General features: G+C 37.3%; 1 protein-coding gene across 15 annotated transcripts in view; it reads left to right on the top strand.

Moving 5' to 3' along the window:
* SWT1 (SWT1 RNA endoribonuclease homolog) overlaps positions 1 to 25349 on the top strand; it is a 134722-nt gene that overhangs the window by 70732 nt on the left and 38641 nt on the right. For all 15 annotated transcript variants that reach the window (XM_005245271.3, NM_001105518.2, XM_047423246.1 and 12 more), the window contains one exon: positions 3786 to 3917. In XM_005245271.3, coding sequence (XP_005245328.1) covers positions 3786 to 3917 — 132 coding nt within the window. The remainder of the gene's footprint in view (positions 1 to 3785; positions 3918 to 25349) is intronic.

The following is a 25349-nucleotide window of genomic DNA, read 5'->3' on the forward strand; positions in this document are numbered from 1 at the left end:
TGTGTATCCTGAGGCCAGGCATGATGGCTCATGTCTGTAATCCCAGCACTTTGGGAGGCAGAGAGAGGTAGGAGGATTGCTTCAGTCGAAGAGTTTGAGACCAGCCTGGGCAACATGGTGAGACTTTGTCTCTACAAAAAAAATTAAAAATTAGCTGGTCATAGTGGCATGCACCTGTGGTCCCAGCTACTCAGGAGGCTGAAGTGGGACAATCACTTGAGCCCGGGAGGTAGAAGCTGCAGTGAGCTGTAATTATGCCATTGCACTCCAGCCTGGGTGACAGAGTGAGACCCTATCTCAAAAAGAAAGGGTATCAAAAAAGTCTGGGAACCTGTGGTAAACATCTTTAAACAGTATGTCACATTAAAAAAAAATGTGTATATATATATATATATATACATATATATATACTCAGTATGTTTTTCTTCAGCCTTAAGATACATTTTCTGCTAGATGCAGTGGTTCATGCCCATAATCCGAGCACTTTGGGAGGCTGAGGCAAGAGGATTGTTTGAACTCAGGAGTTTGAGACCAGCCTGGGCAATATAGTGAGACCTCATCTTTACTAGAAATCAAAAAAGTTAGCCTTGTGTGGTAGCCCTCACCTGTAGTGCCAGCTACTCGGGAGGCTGAGGTGAGAGAATTGCTTGAGATCAGGAGATCAAGGCTGCAGTGAGCTGTGATTGTACCACCGTACTCCAGCCTGGGCAACTGAGCAAGACACTGTCTCAAAAAAAGATACATTTTCAAGTGAAGGACCTCTAAATTTTAGCCATGGATCCAATAGTTAATACATTGCACAGTGTCTGTAAAAGTCTAGAATCAAGGGAAAATGTTGTATTTATTGTATTTTTTTCATACTTTCAGGCACTTGGTAGTATGTCATTTGATCATGACGCCTTAAGAGGAAAGAAGAAATGGAGGAATAGTAACACGGTTTTAGGGAGGAGTGGTAATTACAGTGTTAGAGAGTGTTCAAGAAAACCTTCAGTTAAAAAATGGCATTTGTACTGTCTTGAAGGAGGTGAGGATGGGAGCATATAGTTATTTACAGGAAAAGCGTTTCAGATAGAAGAATAGAAATTACAAAGAGCTTGAAAGAACATGTCTATATACATTGGGTGAACTGAAAGAAGGCCAGTGTGGCTGGAGCAAGGGGGCAGAGTAGGAGGAGATGAAGTAGGGAGGTACAGTGTGCTAATTGTGTAGGGCCTATAAGCCATTGTAAGAATTTAGGGCTTTTACTCTTAGCAAAAGCTACAGCACAATTTTAAGCAAAGAAATGACAAGATCAGGCCTGCGTTTTAAAAAAGATTGCTTTGCCTTGTTGAGAGCAGGCTGTGAAGTGATGAGGGTGAGGCAGGAAGAGGGCGAGATACCGGTTTAGGTGTGTACTGTGATAATCCAGGTGGAAAATGATGATGATTTGGGTCAGGGCAGTTGTGGGAGAGATGATAAGAATTGGTCAAATGCTGGATATATTTTAAAGGTTAAAAACAACAAGATTTGCCGATACAGCTCAAGAGACAGGAGCAAAAATAGTAGTACCCACAGCAAAAGATGATTGTACCTGGCAATCCTATGACTGGTATGGTTATTTTCATCCTCATCTCACGCTCATTTCTCCCACATTTTGTCATTTAGAATAAACCCTGGAGGAAGAACTTTTAGTGTCCTCATCCTTTTACCTGAATTGTATAAATCTATATAAAAATTATAATGGAAGTTTTTGGAATGATGGTATCTAGTATATAGTACTTTGATTTACTGATGGCTTTCCTGGAAGATGTTGTTTCCTGTTTTCTCTCTCGGTCTCCTCCTGCCTCCCTAGCCACTCTCTCACAACCACACCTCCACACACACAATTTGCTTGTATATCCAGAAAAAGATGAAGAAAGAACCAGGTATGTTAGTAATGCTTATCTCTGGTTGGTAGACTGTGGGTATTACATATTCTCTTTTTACATTCTCTTTTTAGGCTTTAAATTAAGAAAATTTTTTTTAAATGTAAATATTTTGAAATAAAATAAATTTGGTTTTATCTAAAAAATAGCAAATGCACACACACAAATACCCTGAATAGGCAAATCCATAGAGACAGAAAGCAGAGTGGTGGTTGCAGGGGTTTGGCGGGGCAAGAGGAGAATCCTGGGGAGTAACCGCTCAATGGATTCAGTTTCCTTTTTGGGTAATGAAATGTTCTTTAACTAGATAGTGGTGATGGTTACACAGCATTGTGAATGTACTAAATGCCACTGAATTATATGCTTCAGAATGTTCAAAGTGGTGAATTTTATGTTAAGTGAGTTTTACGACAGTTATAAAAGGAATACTTTGGAAAGTATAAAGTAGGGGAGGAAATTCCTTTGAGTGCTGCTGCCTAAAGTCTACCGTAGTCAACATTGTGAATTTATTAAGCATACTCATTCTTGTTTTTTAGGAATGTAATTAGTTTCCTACAGCTGCTGTAGCAAAGTATCACAAACTGGCTGGCCCAAAACAACAGAAATGTATTTGCTCACAGACCTGGAGGCCAAACATTTGAAATCCAAGTGTCTGCAGGCTTGGTTCTTCTGGAGTTTCTGAGGGAGGATCTGTTTCATGTCTTTCTCTTTTCTTCTGGTAGTTGCCAGCAGTCCCTGCCTTGTAGATGTATCACTCCCATCTCTGCCTTTTTCTTCACATGGAGTAGGGCCCATTCTAATCCAGCATGACCTCATTTTAACTTAACTAATTACATCTCAAAGACCCTGTTTCAAATAAGGTAACATTCTGAGGTTCTGGGTGAATATATGAATTATGGGGGGACACTAGTCAAACCAAGCACAACATGTTTTGGATTTTTATATGGTTGTTCTTATGTTATAAAGTAAATTTTCTCTACTTTTATTTTTCTATTTCATAGGTGGCATAAGCATCATTTTAATAGTTTGGTGTTTTGTGTGTGTGTGTGTGTGTGTGTTTGTTTTGTTTTGAGACAGGGTCTCATTTTGTTGCCCAGGCTGGAATGCAGTGGCACGATGACAGCTCACTGAAGCCTCGGCCTCCTGGGTTCAAGCGATCCTCCCACCTTAGCCTCCCAAGTAGCTGGGACTACAGGCAGTGCCACCACGCCTCTCTAATTTTTAAATTTTTTTTCTAGAGACAAGGTTGAACGATGTTGCCTAGGCAGGTCTCAAACTTCTGGCCTCAAGTGATCCTCCCTCCTCGGCCTTTCAAAGTGTTGAGATGACATGGGTGAGCCGTCTCGCCCAGCCTAGTTTGGTATTTTATCAAGTGGCCAACTTACTGATGACTTAACACTGCTTATATTGTTATACATTTAAGGTGTTACTAATTGTTGCCTAATTGTGAATAACTATTATTAATTTACGATAAATTTCTACAAGTGAAATTACTAGGATTAACTTCTAGTTTCAACAGGAATAATCTGATCTCTAATTTTTTTCTTCATCGTTCTCATCCTGAGTACTGACTTGAATGCAGATGGATAGCATTACTTCTCCTCTATCTCTTGTTGTCTCTTAGAATGAAACAATATTCACACAACTTTCATAGTATTACTTTAGATTAGACCTGTATAGTGTCTGAACTAGATCCTTTACATGAATCTTATCCCAGACTTTCGTATTTTACTATCTTTTATTTCTAATTTAAATAGATCAGCATTCTGAGAGATTAGTGATAATAAATACTACTTTACTTTATACATTTGCAGCTGAAATACTTGAATTACATTAAATATGTATGTATACCTATGAGTATCTTTTTTTTCTCTATTTTAGCACGGATGTATTTCAAAGATTGGGCTCAAATTCAGCTCTGACTACTTCAAATATAGCATCATTTGAAGAAGCATTTATATGTCTTCAAAAGTTAATGGCAGCTGTGAGGGATATTCTTGAAGGAATTCAAAGGTAAACACTATATTAATTTTAAAGTGTTATTTACTTATTACTTTTCTCTTTCTCCTAGGCTTACCAACTTTTTCAGAGTTGCTAGGAGTCACATAGAATAGACCGTGGCACTTTATAGCATGAAATCAAGTGCTTTCTTTTGTGGCACTAAAGGAGGATACTTCTAACCTTTGCAGTTTTATCGTTATGTACCAAGATTGTTTGACCTGAATTAGATATATAGGTTGATAACACAAAAATACTGTTCTTTGTAAATTAAAACAGAAACAAAACTGAGTTGATTTTGCTATGTTCAAGTTTGAAAAACTTGAATTTTCAAAAAATTTTTTTTTCATTTCTCTTGAATGGTTTTTGCAAACTATTGTTAATATACAAGGCATTTTTGCCTTGTTAATCTAGAAGGCATTTTTGCCTCTTTTTGAATCGCAGTTGGCCTAAATAATTCTTATAATAAAAAGTTATCTAAACTTCTGCCACCCTTAAGTTATTAATGAATTTAAAGTATGGCAGATCCTAACACAAGTTAAATGTTACCTCTAAATGCAAATAGTCCCTTTATAATTTAAAGCCTTATTAAAATAAGTGTGGCTCCATAAGGGTGAACTATTGAGTTCTGATTTTAGCTGTGTAAAAACTTCTGTTCACTCTAGATTGCATAAAAGCCATACTTGACAGTATATTTTCTACAGAAAGTAATAACTCAGCAGATGTTCATTGAACACCTGCTATACTTGGTATCGTACTAGGCACTGGGGACCAAAGAGAAATAAGATATGACCTCTGAATCCAAACAGCTGTGGAAATAATTCAATCATATTAAAACAGATCTTGCAATCAAAAGGTATTAGTATTTTAATAGAGATATATATATGCAGTGGCGGGAGGAAGGGTTGGCAAAAGATGAGGCTGGATCGAGGTTGGAGGAGTGTGTCTCAGGCCATGCAAAGCAGTTTCCATTTTATCTGATAGGCCAGTATTTCAGATATTCAGAGCTGTTAATTATGTGCCAGAAGTGTTTCTGGTTCAAAAAACTGGAAATATTGCATACTATACCACCTTCTGGGGAAATCACTTGTATTATTAGCATATTAATGGCTTTATAAACCTCTGCTGTAAGGAAATTTTTTTAATTTTAGGAACTTTAAAACATATTGATGCCTGGATCCTCCACCCTAGAGATTCATATGTAATTAGTCTGGGGTGTGCCTGGCAATGAAGATTTAAAAAATTTCCCCAGGTAATTCATATGTGTCAGCAAGGTTGAGAACCTCTAGCCAATATGCTTATCTAGTGGTTCTCAAAGTGTAATCACAAGACCAGCATCATCACCACATCTAACTTGTTAAAAGTGCAGATTTTCAGGCCCTCTCAGATTTATTCAATCAGAAACTGTGGGTATGAGGCCTATAGGTCTGTGTCCTCTAGGTGATTCTGTTCATGCTGAAGGCTGAGCATCACTGGCCCAAGTGATTCTCAGCCCTAGTGGCAGACTATAATCACCTGGGAGTTTAAAAAAATAGGAATGATCTTTTCAAAAAACCAGCTCCTGGATTCATTGAGTTTTTGAAGGGCTTTTCGTGTCTCTGTCTCCTTCATTTCTGCTCTGATCTTACTTATTTCTTTTCTTCTGCTAGCTTTTGAATTTGTTTGCTCTTGCTTCTCTACTTCTTTTAATTGTGATGTTAGAGTGTCAATTTTAGATCTTTCCTGCTTTCTCTTGTGGGCATTTAGTGCTATAAATTTCCCTCTACACACTGCTTTAAATGTGTCCCAGAGATTCTGGTATGTTGTGTCTTTGTTCTCATTGGTTTCAAAAAGAATATCTTTATTTCTGCCTTCATTTCATTATGTACCCAGTAGTCATTCAGGAGCAGGTTGTTCACTTTCCATGTAGTTGAGCGGTTTTGAGTGAGTTTCTTAATCCTGAGTTCTAATTTGATTGCACTGTGGTCTGAGAGACTGTTTGTTATGATTTACATTCTTTTGCATTTGCTGAAGAGTGTTTTACTTCGAATTATGTGGTCAATTTTATTTATTTATTTATTTATTTTTTGAGACGGAGTCTTGCTCTGTCGCCCAGGCTGGAGTGCAGTAGCGCAATCTCAGCTCACTGCAAGCTCCGCCTCCTGGGTTCATGCCATTCTCCTGCCTCAGCCTCCCAAGTAGCTGGGACTACAGGCACCCGCCACCATGCCCAGCTAATTTTTTTGTATTTTTAGTAGAGACCGGGTTTCACCATGTTAGCAAGGATGGTCTCGATCTCCTGACCTCATGATCCACCCCCCTCAGCCTCCCAAAGTGCTGGGATTACAGGCGTGAGCCTCTGCGCCCGGCCTAATTTTAAAATAAGGGCAGTGTGGTGCTGAGAAGAATGTATATTCTGTTGATTTGGGGCGGAGAGTTCTGTAGATGTCTGTTAGGTCTGCCTGGTCCAGAGCTGAGTTCAAGTCCTGGATATCTTTGTTAATTTTCTGTCTCATTGATCTGTCTAATATTGACAGTGGGGTGTTAAAGTCTACCACTATTATTGTGCAGGAGTCTAAGTCTCTTTGTAGGTCTCTAAGAACTTGCTTTATGAATCTGGGTACTCCTGTATTGGGTACAGATGTATTTAGGATAGTTAGCTCTTCTTGTTGCATTAATTCCTTTAGCATTATGTAATGCCTTTGTCTCTTTTGATCTTTGTTTGTTTAAAGTGTGTTTTATCAGAGACTAGGATTGCAACCCCTGCTTTTTTTTCTTTCTATTTGCTTCGTAAATATTCCTCCATCCCTTTATTTTGAGCCTGTGTGTGTCTTTGCACATGAGATGGGTCTCCTGAATACTGCACACCAATGGATCTTGATTCTTTATCCAATTAGCCAGTCTGTGCCTTTTAATTGGGTCATTTAGCCCATTTACATTTAAGGTTAATATTGTTATGTGTGAATTTAATCCTGCCATTATGATGTTAGCTGGTTTTCTTTGCCCGTTAGTTGGTGCAGTTTCTTCATAGTGTCGATGGTCTTTACGTACAATTTGGTATGTTTTTGCAGTGGCTGGTACCGGTTGTTCCTTTCCATGTTTAGTGCTTCCTTCAGGAGCTCTTGTATGGCAGGCCACTAGCTAGACTAATAAAGAAGAAAAGAGAGAAGAATCAAATAGATGCAATAAAAAATGATAAAGGGGATATCACCACCAATCCCACAGAAATACAAACTACCATCAGAGACTACTTATAAACACCTCTATGCAAATAAATTAGAAAATCTAGAAGAATTGGATAAATTTCTGGACACATACACCCTCCCAAGACCAAACCAGGAAGAAGTCGAATCCCTGAATAGACCAGTAACAAGTTCTGAAATTGAGGCAGCAATTAATAGCCTACCAACCAAAAGAAAAGTCCAGGACTAGACAGATTCACAGCTGAATTCTACCAGAGGTACAAAGAGGAGCTGGTATCATTTCTTCTGAAACTATTCCAAACAATAGAAAAAGAGGGAATCCTCCCTAATGCATTTTATGAGGCCAGCATCATCCTGATACCAAAACCTGGCAGAGACACAACAAAAAAGAAAATTTCAGGCAAATATCCCTGATGAACATCAATGCGAAAATCCTAATAAAATTATGGCACACCAAATCCAGCAGCACATCAAAAAGCTTATCCACCATGATCAAGTCAGCTTCATCCCTGAGATGCAAGGCTGGTTCAACATACGCAATTCAATAAATGTAATCCAGCATATAAACAGAGCCAAAGACAAAAACCACATGATTATCTCAATAGATGCAGAAAAGGCCTTTGACAAAATTCAGCAGCCCTTCATGCTAAAAACTCTCAGTAAACTCGGTATTGATACAATGTATCTCAAAATAATAAGAGCTATTTACGACAAACCCATAGCCAGTATCATACTGAATGGGCAAAAACTGAAAGCATTCCTGGCAGAAGACAAGGATGCCCTCTCTCACCACTCCAATTCAGCATAGTATTGGAAGTTCTGGCCAGGGCAATCAGGCAAGAGAAAGAAATAAAGGGTATTCAAATAGGAAGAGAAGAGGTCAAATTGTCTCCGTTTGCAGATGACATGATTGTATATTTAGAAAACCCCATCGTCTCAGCCCAAAATCTCCTTAAGCTGATAAGCAACTTCAGCAAAGTCTCAGGATACAAAATCAATGTGCAAAAATCACAAGCATTCCTTTACAATAATAACAAACAGCCAAATCAAGAGTGAACTCCCATTCACAATTGCTACAAAGACAATAAAATACCTAGGAATACAACTTTTACAAGGGATTTGAACGACCTCTTCAATGAGAACTACAAACCACTGCTCAAAGAAATAAGAGAAGACACAAACAAATAGAAAAACATTTCATGCTCATGAGTAGGAAGAATCAATATCATCAAAATGGCTATACTGCCCAAAGTAATTTATAGATTCACTGCTATTCCGATCAAGCTACCATTGACTTTCTTCACAGAATTGGAAAAAACTACTTTAAATTTCATATGGAACCAAAAAAGAGCCCACATAGCCAAGACAATCCTAAGCAAAAAATAAAAAATCCTAAGCAATCCTAACAAAACTGGAGGCATCACGCTACCTGACTTCAAACCATACTAGAAGGCTACAGTAACAAAAACAGCATGGTACTGGTACCAAAACAGAGACATAGACCAATGGAACAGAACAGAGGCCTCAGAAGTAATGCCACACATCTACAACCATTTGATCTTTGACAAACCTGACAAAAACAAGCAATGGGGAAAGGATTCCCTATTTAATAAATGGTGTTGGGAAAACTGGCTAGCCATATGCAGAAAGCTGAAACTGGATTCCTTCCTTACACCTTACACAAAAATTAACTCAAGAGGGATTAAAGACTTAAACATAAGACCTAAAACCATAAAAACTTTAGAAGAAAACCTAGGCAATACCATTCAGGACATAGGCATGGGCAAAGACTTCATGATTAAAACACCCAAAGCAATGGCAACAAAAGCCAAAATAGACCAATGGGTTCTGATTAAAGAGCTTCTGCACAGCAAAAGAAACTATCATCAGAGTGAACAGGCAACCTACAGAATGGGAGAAAATTTTTGCAATCTATCCATCTGACAAAGGGCTAATATCCAGAATATACAAAGAACTTAAATAGATTTACAAGAAAAAAACAACCCCATCAAAAAGTGGGCAAATGATATGAACAGACACTTCTCAAAAGAAGACATTTATGCAGCCAACAAACATGAAAAAAGCTCATCATCACTAGTCATTAGAGAAATGCAAATCAAAAGCACAATGAGATACTATCTCACACCTGTTAGAATGGCGATCATAAAAAGTGAAGAAACAACAGATGCTGGAGAGGATGTGGAGAAATAGGAATGCTTTTTCACTGTTGGTGGCAATTATTTCCACCATCATGGAAGACAGTGTGATGATTCCTCAAGGATCTAGATCTAGAAATACCATTTGACCCAGCAATCCCGTTCCTGGGTATATATCCAAAGGACTATATGTCATTCCACTATAAAAACACATGCACACATATGTTTATTGCAGCGGTGTTCACAATAGCAAAGACTTGAAACCAACCCAAATGCCTATCAATGATAGACTGGATAAAGAAAGTGTGGCACATATACACCATGGAATACTATACAGCCATAAAAAAGGATGAGTTCATGTCCTTTGCAGGGAGATGGATGACTCTGGAAACCATCATTCTCAGCAAACTAACACAAGAACAGAAAACCAAACACTGCATGTTCTCACTCATAAGTGGGAATTTAACAGTGAGAATACATGGACACAGGGAGGGGAACATCACACACTGGGGCCTGTCAGGGTGGGGTCTAGGGGAGGGATAGCATTAGGAGAAATACCTAATGTAGATGATGGGTTAATGGGTGCAGGAAACCACAATGGAACGTGTATACCTATGTAACAAACCTGCCCATTCTGCACATGTACCCCAGAACTTAAAGTATAATAAAATAATAATAATACTAAAGTAACAGTGGTTGGGCCCTACCTTAATCCTATTAAATCTGAATCTGAGAATGGGACCTGGTCAGACATTTCTACAGACTCCCCAACTGATGTGGGTGGAACCAGGGTTAAGAAGATTTAGCATGTATTGCTTACATAAGCAGTATCTAAAAGAAATAATTACTTGAATTTTAAGGCTAATACAATTTGTTACTCTTTCATCTTAAGGACACCTAGCACTAGGGATAAGAAAAGATTGGTAGCTCTGCTACCTTTTAGCATGTGACCTGGGGTGATTTTTTTTTTTTTTAAACAGAGTATTACTGTGTTTCCCAGGCTGGAGTACAGTGGAGCAATCACGGCTCACTGTAGCATCGAATTCCTGAACTCAGGCAGTCTTCCCACCTCAGTCTCCTGAGTAGCTGGGACTACAGGTACATGCCACCACAGTCAGCTAATTTTTGTATTTTTTGTAGAGATGGGGTTTGCCATATTGCTCAGGCTGGTCTTGAACTCCTGGGCTCAAGTGATCCTCCTTTCTTGGCCTCCCAAAATTCTGGGATTACAGGCATGAGCCACCTTGCCTGGCTTGGGGAAAATTTTTAAAGCTATCTTGAGCCTCAGTGTTCATAAAACAGCCATAATAATACCTTCCCAGAGCATTTCATGGGGTTACTATTGTGCTTTGAGAGCAAGGTGTTGGTATTACTAACCATCAGCAATTCTTAACTTGTTTGTTGGGGAATTTGTTACAAATGTAAAGTTTAAGGTTTTATCCCAGACTAACTTAAATAAAAATATCTGTAGGTATTTGTGTAGAGCAAGGAAGTTGTATTTTTAAGCTTTCCAGGGGATTTGTATGCAGGTGGTGAGAGATCACATTTAATAAAACTAATGCAATTTTTTGTAATGTTACATTAGAGAATGCTTTTCTCTTGAGCTACCAGTAGGGAGCATTGTGAATAAACTGGTTTGCTTAACTCACCATTCACTTATCAACAGGAAACTACAAAATTGTGAATTTTTTTTTTTAAACCGGGCAGATAATAGGCATTTAAATTAAAATTTAATAAAAGTTAATAATTATTTTTTCAAGTGTACATGTAGTGCTTAAAATCTTTCAAGAAACAAAATCATGTTAAATCAAAAGAAGCTCAGTTTAAAAATTTTTTTGCTAAATATTGTTTTAAAATTTTACAATTTAATTTAAATTTAAAATTAAATATTGAAATTGCATGCAATTTGTAGTGACTGCAAATTAGCATTTTTGATGCTTGCTAAAATGACCTAGTTTCATTTGGTTTTGAGATGCATGCTCAGTGATTATATGTTAGCTCTATTCCCTTTTATCTTAAAAATAGTAGATCATATATAGTGTTATATTGGGGCTCGATAATCAGGTGATCTTTAGCTTGGCCTTTCAGTTAAAGAAGTGAATGAAAACATATTTGATAGACTAACAGCTTTGGGTTCTAGTTCTAGATTTATCCCCTTGTAGCTGACTTTGGGCATGTCATTTACCCTCTAAGTCACAGTTTCTTTCCTTGTTAAATGAGAATCCTGGTACCTTCTTTAGAAGAGTGTATGAAATGATGTATGTGAAAATACTTTCTAACTATGTTTACATGCGCTAATCTTGCTTTTTCCTTAAAGTTGATATGTGAAGTTTGAAATGTTTAAAATGTGTATTTCAGTTTTAAGAAAACTCTAAACATGATTGTGGTTAAGATTGAAAAATTAGTGGAGCAGTTGTCGGTATGGTTATATATTTGGCAGCAAAATACCTAATTTTGCAAAGTTAGAAAAGGGATGAGGATCTTGCAAATTCCTATATTTTCTGAACACTTTCTTTTTAGGTAGGAGAAGAACTTCAATTAGCTTATTTGCTATTCATTTAGAAATTGCTTCTCTCCTCATCTTTTCTTTTATATGTATACAGGATTAATTTGAGCACTTTTGTTAATAGTTTTCTCATCTAACCACTAGATAGCCAAGGACAATGTTGATAATTTTTTTTTCAGATAGACAAAAGTGTTTTAAGATTTGTTTTTGGTCAGTACTACATAGTCTTAATTTATACTTTTGTAAACTTATGTCTAGATTGATCAAGTAACTCTTAAGACCACAGAAACCTTTTGCTTAGTATATAAAGATGATAAAGTTTCATTTGGAACAAAATTAATTGGAGAGTTGAATTGCAAATTTCTAAAAATAGGGAAAGTTCTACTTTCTATATTGATCAAAAACATTGTCTACATGTATTTTTGCTTAAACTGTCATCTTTGCAGAGTTAACTAAACAGGTCATGTAATCCAACTCTGAGGCACACTGTAAATGCGTGCAGCTTCAACTTGAAAGCTAATATTCAAAGCAACAATACAAGTGTTGTAGATATGTTTCTGTTTCTGTGAAATAGATGATGAGCTAGCTGCCTGATTTAGAAGCTAAGAAGGAGGGTGAAGGTGAGAAACTTTAACTTGCTTAGGTTTTATGTTTGTATTTCACCTTTATAAAATAAGGTAGAAATTATGTTTTAAAAAACAAAAAAAGGTAATATTTTAAATCCAAAAATATACTAGCTCATGCCCAAATATGTTTGGTTTAACATGTAAAACTTTGCATATGTGAGTTTCATGAACTGAAGTAGCTTTATTTGAAATGTTTGAGATAATGAGTGTTTTCTTGGTTTATTATTTTGACTCATATTTGGGGTGGGAAAGAGGCAGAGGGAATTTCTATTCCTTATAAATAGGTGCATTTTGAGGACATGCTTTTATATTAAAAGATATCTCAAGTGTATATAGCTTAGTTTTTTTTCTAGCTGTCATTTTGTTTGGTCATATTTAAATTTAGCAATAAATGACTGCTAACCGTTGTGTTTGGACATAATCATATGCTGCATGGGCATTTGTACTTGATCATAGAACAGGATTTTGGAAAATAAAACCTCAGTTTCAATTTAGGAAAGGAAGATGATTAATTTTTATTGAGTTGTTTAATCTTCTAAGTTTTAATAACCTCTGTCACATTCTTGTGGCTTTAGTTTGGAATACTTTAGACAGCTATTTTTCTAAAATAATTGCAGTCATGAAGTTTGGGGTTTTTTGGGTGTGATTTGCATATATTTTGTTTTCTTATTAAACCTCTAAAAATTAATTTTCCTTTTAATCTCCTACCCCATTTTAACGTAAGAACAGACCATATATGGTATATTTATGCATTATTTCTGGGAAAAGAAACCTTAAAATCACAGTAGCTTTTCAGATCCACTAATATGCTTCAAAGATACTGATTTTTGCTTTTGAGATAAAATTTTATTAACTTCGCCTCTTTGACTTACTGTATATATTGATAGTTGACCTCTTAAGATTTTGGAAAAGGTTATTTAGAATAGGTCATCCTTTACTTTACACAAAGATAACACACTTTAGGCTACTTCTTTAAACTAGTTGTTGAAACTAAAGATTCTGTCACAGGCATGCTAATGTGTAGAAAATAAAGACCTTAAAAACTTCATCCTTTGAAGTTTAGAAGTGACTTTTTAGACTCTGAACTCATTGCAGTGTGCAAAATATTCAGCCATTGTTATCTAGAGTGGAGGGGTTTATTCATGTTTGTGTCTGACCTACTTTCTTTGAGGCTTGGCCTTTTCACCCTTAGATAATTAGGCTTCACCTCCCACTCTTCAGTTAGGGTTTCACAGCTCCTCAGATATCACTTAGTTACCTTCTCAGACTTTCAACACCTTGTCCTTTCATCACCAAGTATATCAGTTGCTTTGTTGAGTAAGAAAAAATAATACAATTTATTGTTTAAAAATGAAAAGACTTAGTTGCTTCATCCTTCATGCCACCATTTTGTAAAAAATAATTTTATTTTTTATAATTTATTTTATAATCAGTTCCTTAATACTTTGAATGCCTCCAGGGCAGAAACTGTCTTACTTTTCTGTATCTGGAGCCTTGCACAGGTAATGACACATAGTAGATGGTCAGTAAGTGATTATTTAATGAGTGTTTTATAGTCTTTGTGATAGAAGGCAACTTTTTTTAAGGCTGAATGCTAATTATACTACATTATGACATTAGATGAATAGTTAATGTAGAGGTTTTAAAAGAGGTATAGAAGAGAGATGAGCAAGCTATGAAAGGTTAAAGAATAAGAAAATCAGGAGGAAGGAGAAAGACTGGAAGAGAGAGAGATTAAGGAGATTAAAAAGGCATTTATGTCTGGAGCAGATGATGGAGCCTCCAGTAATTCACCCAAATGTCTCTTCGGGTTACATTGTTATCCTTGATTACTTTATCAACTATAGATTATTACTTATGGATTACTCTCTAGATCAACTATGTAAAATAGGGCTAGTAGAAGGAAAGATAGGATCTAATGGAAGAGTTAGACTCAGGGAATATAAGCAGGCAGTTCTTGTTATATTATAGACACATATAAGGTCATATGTGTAAAATATAGACAGTTATTAAGAGCTTTTATGGTATCTATATTGCAGTTTGACAAGCACAGTTAATGTGTATATCAAATTTTAAATGTAATATGTAATAAAATTTTTATTAAAGTAGCTGATAAAATACGTGGCATTCACGTATCAGTCGGACTGAATTTTTCAGTAACCAGCTGATTTTTTTAAACCTGGGTCTGTATGTTACTGAAGATAATACATCACTATGACTTAATTTTTAGAATAACTGGATTTCATTTTACATATCTAAAACTCTTATCTGTGTTTCCCAGCATTTGTCATTCAAGAATTGGAAATAAAGACCTTATATTTACCTTTTAAGGTAACCTCCGCTGATACTTATATCAGCGGAGAAATGCCGCAGTTATTCCCATCGCCCCTAGAGTGGACTTAGGTGTTAGTGTTCCCTTGGCCAGTATAATTCAGTTTTGGATGACAGAGTTAAATGTATCCCATCATAAATTATCAAATCACATCCAAATTAAGCAATTAAATATAATATGAAGATTACTTCTTGAAGACAACAAATATTTTAACTTGTTTATGGAGTTTTTATTTATAATCTGTTCTTTTATTTAAAATTTACTTCTTGTTTTATACCTGACTAATTCTACCTAATGATTTATTGTTCTGATATTTAATTAAAATTCCTTGCTATTAAGTCTCGTTTTAAGAAATGCTAAAACCACCAGATGGAATAAATGACCTAATAAGTCAGTGATGTTAAACACCAGTAAAAGAAATGAAATTAGGGAGAAATCAATAGAAGGGTCTGAATAAGGGCTATCATAATAATTTTAACTTAAATAACAAGTATGTATAGTAAGTATATGGGATAAAGCCAGATGATCAGTTCTAATTCATTCTTACAAAGCAGTTATATAAAAGGCGTAAAGGTAGAGTATACCCTATACTCTAGGATACATTCTAACTAGTTGGGTTTTTGTTTGTTTTGAAACAGGGTTTCACTCGGATGCCCAGGCTGGAGTGCAGTGCTGTGATCTCAGCTCACTGCAACTTCCACCTCCTGGGCTCAGGTGATCCTCTCACCTCAGCCTCTGGAGTACTTGGGACTACAGGCATGTGCCACCACACACAGCCTATTTTTTGTACTTTTTGTAGGGACAGGGTTTCTTCATGTTGCCCAGGCTGGTCTTGATCTCCTGGACTCAAGCAATGCATCTTCTTCAGCTTCCCAAATTGCTGGGATTACAGGTGTGAGCCACCACATCTGGCCTAGGATTAATTTTATCTATTTTGAGAAATATATTCTTGTGCCTCTAAATAACTTTTAGCACCTCAGTAGGCCAACCAGCTGCCAGTAGTGAGAAGTGATACAATGTCCTCAAGGGTGTTTTCCAATAGTAAGAAAAGTTTGATTTTAACTCAGGACAGTGTTTTCCACATAGATGGTACTCAGTAAATACTTAACCGTATATCAGAAACCTCTGGAATTATTAAACATTTTGATGCGCCAATCCCTGTTAACAAGGCATGTTAAACCTTTTTAGAATCAACATATACACTTTCTCTTAACAATAAGGTAACTGGAACTATTAAGTTTAAATTGTCTGATTTTTTTGCTAATATTAAGCTACTTTATTACTATTTAAATATATGTAGTTAATGTATTATTTTTGACAGCATGTAGCTATATATTTTCTCCAGCCAAATTGTTGAAATAAGACAAATAAGTAAAATAATCAAAATTATGTTTATTATTAAAGATAGTGACTTTACGCAGATTTTATTTAAACCTTATTGATAAAAATGTCAGCAGTTTTGTATGCTATTGGAGTGTAAAATAGTATAGAATGTATCGATCAGCCTTCTTTCATGGACTTTCATCCATTTACCCATGCTGCCTATATTCTAGAGAAAGGGAAATACACTCATACATCTCTCTCTCTTTTTTAATATATATAATTCTTTTTCTTAAAAAAAAAATAGGGATAGGGTCTCACTGTGTTGGCCAGGCTGGTCTTGAACCCCTATTCTCAAGCTGTCCTCTCGCCTCAGCCTCCTAAAGTGCTGGGATTACAGATGTGAGCTACCACACCCAGCTAGTCATACATATCTTAATGATGGGGATACATGTTCTTGTGTGAGCATTATAGAGTGTATTTACACAAATCTAGATGGAATAGCCCACTACACACCTAGGCTGTATGGTAAATGGCCTGTTGCTGCTGGATTACAAACCTGTATGGCATGCTACTGTACATACTACAGGGAGTTGTAACACAATGGTAATTATTTGTGTACCTAAACATACGTAAACATAGAAAAGGCATGCTTAAAAATACGGTATAAAAGATAAAAAAAAGGTATACTTGTATAGAACACTTACCACAATGTAGCTTGCAGGAGTGGAAGTGCTCTGGGTGAGTCAGTGGGTGGGTGGTGAGTCAGTGGGTGAGTGGTGAGTGAATGTGAAGGCCCTGGATATGACACTACTATAGACTATAAGCACTGTACACTTAGGCTCCACTCAATTAAAAAATGTTTTCTTTCTTCAATAACAAATTAACCTTAGGTTGTTATAACTTTTTAATTTTATGAACTTTTGATTTTTTAATACTTTTTGACTCTTTTCCAGTAACACTTAGCTTAGAACACAAACAATGGCCAGGCATGGTGGCCGACACCTGTAATCCCGGCACTTTGGGAGGCCAAGGCAGGGGGTTTGCTTGAAGCCCGGAGTTCGAGAGTAGTCTAGGCAACATAGTGAGACACCGTCTCTGCAAAAAAATAAAATTAGCTGGGCATGGTGTTGTGTGTCTGTAGTCTCAGCTACTTGGGAGGCTGAGGCAGGAGGATTGCTTGAGCCCCCCACGAGTTCAAGGTTAAAGTGAGCTATGATTGCATAACTGCATTCCAGCTTGGGCAACAGAGTGAGACCCCATCTCTAAGAACGATTTTTTATATTTAAAAATAAAATAAAAAAGGACCACCCCTTTCAGATCTATGCTTTCTAGAAAACACACACATTGTACAACTGTATAAAAATATTTTCTTTCTTGATATCCTTACTCTGTAGCTTTTTTCTTTTTATAACAATTTTTATTTATTTTTTACTTTTTAAGCTTTTTTGTTAAAAACTAATACACGAAACATACACATTACCCTAGGCCTACACAGGGTCAGGATCATCAGTGTCACTGTCTTCCACCGCCATGTCTTGTCCCACTGGAAGGTCCTCAGAGATAGTAACACACATGGAGCTGTCTCCTATGATAACAGTGCCTTCTTCTGAAATACCTCTCAAAGAACCTACCTGAGGCTCTTTTTAGTTAACTTTTTTAATAAGTAGAAGGAATATACCCTAAAATAATAATAAAAAGTATAGTAGAGTAAATATAGTAAATACAGAAAAGAACCAGTAACATAGTTGTTTATTATCATTGTTAAGTATAATGTGCTGTACTTAATTGTATGTGCTATACTTTTAGAGGACTGGCACTGCAGTAGGTTTATTTATGCCAGCATCACCACAACCACATGAGTAATGAGTTGTGCTAGTAGGAAGTTACTAAGTGATAGGAATTTTTCGGCTCTAGTATAATTTTTTTCCACTCTTGCTGATAATCTTACATTATAATCTTTTTTTTTTTGAGACAGAGTCTCACTCTGTTGCCCAGGCTGGAGCACAGTGGTGTGATCTCGGCTCACTGCAACCTCTGCCTCCCAGGTTGAAGTGATTCTCCCACCTCAGCCTCCCAAGTAGCTGGGATTACAGGCACCCACCATCATGCCTGGCTAATTTTTGTATTTTTGTATAGAGGGGGTTTTACCATGTTAGCCAGGCTGGTCTTGAATTCCTGACCTCAGGTGATCTGCCCACCTCGGCCTCCCAAAGTGCTGAGATTACAGGTGTGAGCCACCGCACCCAGTCTTACATTATAATCTTATGGGACCACCATCATATATGTGGTCCATTGTTGACCAAAATGTCATTGTGCAGTGCATAACTGTACTTAGACCTTTTAGGGAATTACTACATACTGGCTCTGAGTTAATGCTAATCTCTACAGGCCTAAAATGCCAGTATAGTTGGAGAAATGGCCAGAGGGACAGATCTATCCTGATTAGTATCACATCCTTTAAATTTTTATTTTTTCTTTTCTTGGAGTCTCACTCTGTTGCTCAGTCTGCAGTGCAGTGGCATCATCATGGCTCACTGCGACCTCCACTTCCTGGCTCAGGTGATTCTCCCACCTCAGCCTCCCGAGTAGCTGGGACTACAGGCATACCCTACCACGCCCAGCTAACTTTTGTGTTTTTTGTAGAGACCAGGTCTTGCCATGTTGATCAGGCTGGTCTCGAACTCCTGGGCTCAAGCTATCCACCCTCCTCAGTCTTTCAAAGTGTTAGGATTAGAGGCATGAGCCACAGCACCTGGCCATATCCTTTAATTTGTATATCTTAATTATGTTCATATTTTGGAGAGCTTTTTTTTTTTTTTTTTTTTTAATAGAGGGGGGTCTCACTTTGTCATCCAGGCTACGGTGCAGTTGTATGATCATAGCTCACTGCAGCCTGGAACTCATGGTTTCAGGTGATTCTCCTGCCTCGGCCTCCTGAGTAGGAAGGACTACAGGCGCACTCCACCATGCATGGCTAATATTTTAAATTTTTGGTAGATAAGATCTCACTATGTCCTCCAGGCTGGTCTTGAACTCCTGGGCTCAAGTGATCTTCCCACCTCAGCTTCTTCAAGTGTTAGCATTACAGGTGTGAGCCACCATGCCTGACCAGGGGCTAATTTTTTAAAGATCTTCTAAGATCATTTTTCTTTACATTCTATTGTGACTGGTAAAAACTCAAACTAGAAATAGTGGCATCAGCTCTTTTCTTGTTGATTGCGTGTGATTGCCTTATTATTATTACCTTCAGTCCTTAGGTTTCTTGTTGGAATCCCTTAAACTGTTACCCATTTGATGAAGGTTAATTCAATAAGTAATATAATCTGTAAATCATCTAACCAGACATATGTAAAATGCAGTGCCTTGAAGAACATTGAAAGCCAATAAATAAGGTACACACCTCTCCTTTCCTCCCTAATGTGGAACTCCCACCTTATCCCCTGGATACTTCAACATGTGTGACCTGGGGCTCTCTGACATACGGACTAAAGTAAAGGCACAATTTCAGAAGGGATAAAAGAAAGGGGAAGATACAATGTTAGGAAAGTGGAGTCAGCAGTTGGAAATACTGGAGGTTAAATAGTGGGATGTGTAACTGGACAAATGGACTGTTGATGCTTTAGGCTTTCTCTAGACTTATATCTGCTCTTTCATTTTTTGCATTGAAAGTTGTTTAGAAAAAAAGTTGTTTAGCTATTTAATTTCTCAGTGAGATTCATATTTATGTATCATAAAGATGAAGCTACCTCAATTATAAGGGAAATTTTGTTGTACTGAAACTTGATACATGGAAATTTTCAGTTTGGCTCTGTAGAGGTCTGTCTGGATTCTCAGGGTGATGTAGGGGAAAGCATAAAGAAGGCTGAGTGCATTGTTCTCCAGACCTGCACTTTGCTTCAGTATGTATGGCTCTCCTTTGTCTGTTTTAGAAATATATGAGATTTCTGGGTAAGCTTTCATTTAGGTTTCAACAAGCTCTGCTACAAAATAAAAATAGAATATTTCAGTCATGGAACTAAATTTTATGTAATTTGCTTCTAGAAGTGTTTTTTTTTCCTTCCTAAAAAGCAGACTATTTGTTTATTTGCTATTACAGTATGAGTTGGTGACAGTGCTTTCTTTTGGGCCTCTTCTTCCTTTTCCTAAATTAATAGTTATTTCAGGCTTTTTTGCATTTTGAAACTCTGCATTCATGGTGCTTTGTTAGGATTCCCTCTGCAATATAGGATCACAGTACATGATTACTATGGTTATTTTCAAAAAGTCAACAGTTCCTTCAGATTGCTTGGAAGCAGTTGTGAACAATTAAGAGAAGTGGATATGACCCTGTAATGTATTTCCCGTATAGAAAGAAGCAGAGGGTATCTGTAGTTCAGTGTGTTTCCACCAATTAAACTGTAATTGTACTCTTTCCTTACATGTTTAATCTTAGGGACTAATATGCAAACAACAATGTTCTCACACAAAACAAATTAAACTCAACTTACTTTCAATACAATTAACCAATAACAATTTTTTTTCATAAATACATGGATTTTCAGAGAAGTTGCAGGATACGATTTTATGATCCAGGCCAACATATTTTTCGTATCATGCATTTTCAACTTTATATTGAAAGTCATTCTGAATAGAAGTCCATGTTCAGAAATTTAGTATGTTAATTATTCAACTTAGAAACTTCTGTGCTGGAATGATTCACCTGGTGAGGAATGATTGTTTACACACCCTATTTATTCCTTATGAATTTCTACACTCCCCCTCTGGTCTGTGTCTTTCATTGGTTCTGGGGTGATGGTTCCTGCTGTCACTGTCATATCTGTCTACCATCAATGGAGATACTAATCTCTCTCCTCTCTTCATGCTGAGATATGGAAAATATCCTTCATTTAACTACATGCAGTAGAACTTTCACTAAAAGGAACCTTCACTAAAAAGCTAATGAAGATACGACTAAGCCAAAAAAAAAAAAAAAAAAGACAAAAGCAGTTCAGCAGTTTTTTATGCTAAACCAATCAAAAGATTAGCTGAAAATAAATTCCATACCATATGGTTTATCTAGCTGATGGTTGATTTCCCTTACCTTTACTCTCATGTTCTGGTATCTATTGCTGTATAACAAATCACCCCAAAACTTATTGGCTTAAAACAGTAACAACCAATTATTTGTTTTTTGTAATGTTTTGGGAGTTGACTAGACTCATCTTGGAAATTCTCACTTGAGATTTCTTGTGTAGCTGCATTCAGATAGTGTCTGGATCTCCAGACACTATCTCCAGACACTTAGAGGCTGGATCTCCAGCCTCTAAGGCTGGCTGATGCTGCCTCTCAAGTGAAACGCCAATATGTGGCATCTTCATGTAGCCTGAGCTTTGTCGCAGGCTGCAGGCTGGTTTCCAAGAGTGTCCCACCATATGAGGTGGAAGCTATGTTGCCTGTTATGGCATTGCCTCAGAAATCATATAGTGTCATTTCCCCTACAGTCACAGACCTGCCTAGGTTGAGGGGCCTGCCTGTTGATAGGAATGCCAGTGTTACCCTGTAAGAAGAACATGTGGGATGAGAGATCTCGTGTGGCCATCTTGGAAAATACAGTCTGCCTTCTGGTCACAGCAGTTTACATCCCTCCAACTGACAAGACCTGTACATCCCCAAGTCTTATCCCTTTATAGGATTAGGTTAAAGTCCAGAATCTCATTATTTGAATCAGGTCCAGGTGTGATTGAGGCAAGGCTCCCTGGGTATGGCTCCTTCAGCAGAGCTCCTTGAGTACCTACCGTTCCTCTAGATGGGAAGTGCTGTGAACTAAAGAGACAAACTGATCCCCCACCACCCACCCCATACTTTGTAAATACTCTCAACATTCGTGTTCCAAAAGGGGAACACAGGAAGTCACTAGCAGTTCTAAAATCCAGCCATGCACATGTTGCTAGTACTTGATAAGGGCTCAGCCTGACTGCCTGGGAATTATTCACCACTGTTGTTGACTCTGCTCTCTGGGCTCTTGGTTTTGGCTTCTGATTTACTTTTCCATAAGAAAAGGAAGCTGCAATTGAGGAGCCTCCTCAAGCTGTGTCCTTCCTGTAAAAGGTAGGGATTCTAAAGACCTTTTTCTTTTTGTATTACTTCTCTCTTTTATTCCAAGTGGTAGTACTTTTACCAGAACAATCCTGTAAAGCTGTTTGTTTTCTATGAATCTTTATTGGGATTCACTGTGTTAGACAAAAGTCACAACCACAGATCTCTTTGAGATAAACCACCCTCTCACCTTGGGCTCCCTTTGAACCTGTATGGACAATGCTCTTATGATTTTATTTTATTTATTTTTAAAGACTGGTGTCTCACTCTGTCATCCAGGCTGGGTTGCGGTGATGTGATCATAGCTCACTGCAGCCTCGAACTCTTAGGCTGAAGTGATCTTCTCGCCTCAGCCTCCCTCGTAGCTGTCACCATAAGAATGTGAGAGGCAACCATTCTTAAGACCCTTAAAGGGCCTTTTGTGTATCTGAATGATTCTAAGAGGCACTTTAGCTCTTTCTGAGTCTCAACAAAAGGTTTTACAGTAATGCTATTGTCTTCATCTTTAGACCATGTTTTCCTGCCATTCCTGTTAATGGTAAATATTGAATAGTTCTTACACTGCTAAGTGAAGAAAATTTTGGAACATTTCTTACATGTATCTCCAGATGCAGCCTACCACTCCTCTTCCTCTCTCTATACTCCACTTTCCCTCTGTGAGCTCATCCCAACTCCTTTGTGCCCATTACTTGGTTCAGTTGTGAATTTTCAGCTTAGACTCCAAATGTCTAAAACTAAACTCATAATTTATTTAATTTAATTTTAATTTAATTTAATTTTATTTTTTGAGATGGAGTCTTGCTGTGTCGCCCATGCTGGAGTGCAGTGGTGCAATCTTGGCTCACTGCAACCTCCACCTCCCGGGTTCAAGTGATTGTTCTTTCTCAGCCTCCCAAGTAGCTGGGACTACAGGCATGCACCACCATGCCCAGCTAACTTTTGTATTTTTAGTAGAAACAGGGTTTCGCCATGTTGGCCAGGCAGGTCTCAAACTCCTGACCTCAGGTTATCTGGCCTCCTCGGCCTCCCAAAGTGCTGGGATTACAGGTATGAGCCACTGCACCCGGCCTGGAAATATTTTTCTTTGTTTGACATGGTTGATACACTTATATAGGCTATCTCTAGTAAATCTAAATTCTTGAAACTGAAAAACCATTCTTTTATGGCTTTAGAAGTCAGTGATTTAATGATGCTCTTCCTAATGGTGGTGTGCATGGAAAAGTTTTTATTAAAGAGCATATGTGGTTTGAATTTGCAAGATGCAAATATCACAGACTCCAAGAAAACCTAAAAAAATAAATAAATTAATAAACCCACAACATCCTGAACTGGTGCCACCTAACTTCTTTCTGTTTTTTCCTTTTACTTTTTATAAAGCTACATCAATTCTAAATGTGTCCATTAGATCAAATTTGTTCAGGCTGGTCTGAGTGCAGTGGTGTTTACAACTAACTGATCACAGACAGTTACAGATTCTTTTGTTCCTTCTCCACTCCCACTGCTTCACTTTAGCCTAAAGAAAAAAATTGATTTTATGTTGTCCATATTATTATATACTTGCTGAGTTTTGTCTTTGATCAGTTTTATGATTTATGTTAAAAATTTCCTACTGTAATTGTGGGATTTTCAATTTCTTATTGTAATGCTGCCAATTTTTCTTTGCATATTTTGAGGTTATCTCTTTCTGATGAATTGATCCTCTTTACTGCTAGTGAGACTTTCTGCCTAAAAGTTTGTTTTGTCATATATTAATACTGCTAGACCAGCTTTTTGTTGTTATTAGTATTTTTTCTTTGCTTTTTCATCAACCATTTGGAGTCATTATTTTCTTTAGCTAGATTTTATCTATCCAATCAGACAATTTGTTTTTTGCTTGATAAGTAAAACAATTTATATATATATATATTTTTTTTATTATACTTTAAATTTTAGGGTACATGTGCACATTGTGCAGGTTAGTTACATATGTATACATGTGCCATGCTGGTGCGCTGCACCCACTAACTCGTCATCTAGCATTAGGTATATCTCCCAATGCTATCCCTCCCCCCTCCACCCACCCCACAACAGTCCCCAGAGTGTGATATTCCCCTTCCTGTGTCCATGTGATCTCATTGTTCAATTCCCACCTATGAGTGAGAATATGCGGTGTTTGGTTTTTTGTTCTTGCGATAGTTTACTGAGAATGATGATTTCCAATTTCATCCGGACATGAACTCATCATTTTTTATGGCTGCATAGTATTCCATGGTGTATATGTGCCACATTTTCTTAATCCAGTCTATCATTGGTGGACATTTGGGTTGGTTCCAAGTCTTTGCTATTGTGAATAATGCTGCAATAAACATACGTGTGCATGTGTCTTTATAGCAGCATGATTTATAGTCCTTTGGGTATATACCCAGTAATGGGATGGCTGGGTCAAATGGTATTTCCAGTTCTAGATCCCTGAGGAATTGCCACACTGACTTCCACAATGGTTGAACTAGTTTATAGTCCCACCAACAGTGTAAAAGTGTTCCTATTTCTCCACATCCTCTCCAGCACCTGTTGTTTCCTGACCTTTTAATGATTGCCATTCTAACTGGTGTGAGATGGTATCCCATTGTGGTTTTGATTTGCATTTCTCTGATGGCCAGTGATAATGAGCATTTTTTCATGTGTTTTTTGGCTGCATAAATGTCTTCTTTTGAGAAGTGTCTGTTCATGTCCTTCGCCCACTTTTTGATGGGGTTGTTTGTTTTTTTCTTGTAAATTTGCTTGAGTTCATTGTAGATTCTGGATATTAGCCCTTTGTCAGATGAGTAGGTTATGAAAATTTTCTCCCATTTTGTAGGTTGCCTGTTCACTCTGTTGGTAGTTTCTTTTGCTGTACAGAAGCTCTTGAGTTTAATTAGATCCCATTTGTCAATTTTGGCTTTTGTTGCCATTGCTTTTGGTGTTTTAGACATGAAGTCCTTGCCCATGCCTATGTCCTGAATGGTAATGCCTAGGTTTTCTTCTAGGGTTTTTATGGTTTTAGGTCTAACGTTTAAGTCTTTAATCCATCTTGAATTGATTTTTGTATAAGGTGTAAGGAAGGGATCCAGTTTCAGCTTTCTACATATGGCTAGCCAGTTTTCCCAGCACCATTTATTAAATAGGGAATCCTTTCCCCATTGCTTGTTTTTCTCAGGTTTGTCAAAGATCAGATAGTTGTAGATATGCGGCGTTATTTCTGAGGGCTCTGTTCTGTTCCATTGATCTA

Source organism: Homo sapiens, chromosome 1, assembly GCF_000001405.40.
Source record: "Homo sapiens chromosome 1, GRCh38.p14 Primary Assembly".
NCBI lineage: Eukaryota > Metazoa > Chordata > Mammalia > Primates > Hominidae > Homo > Homo sapiens.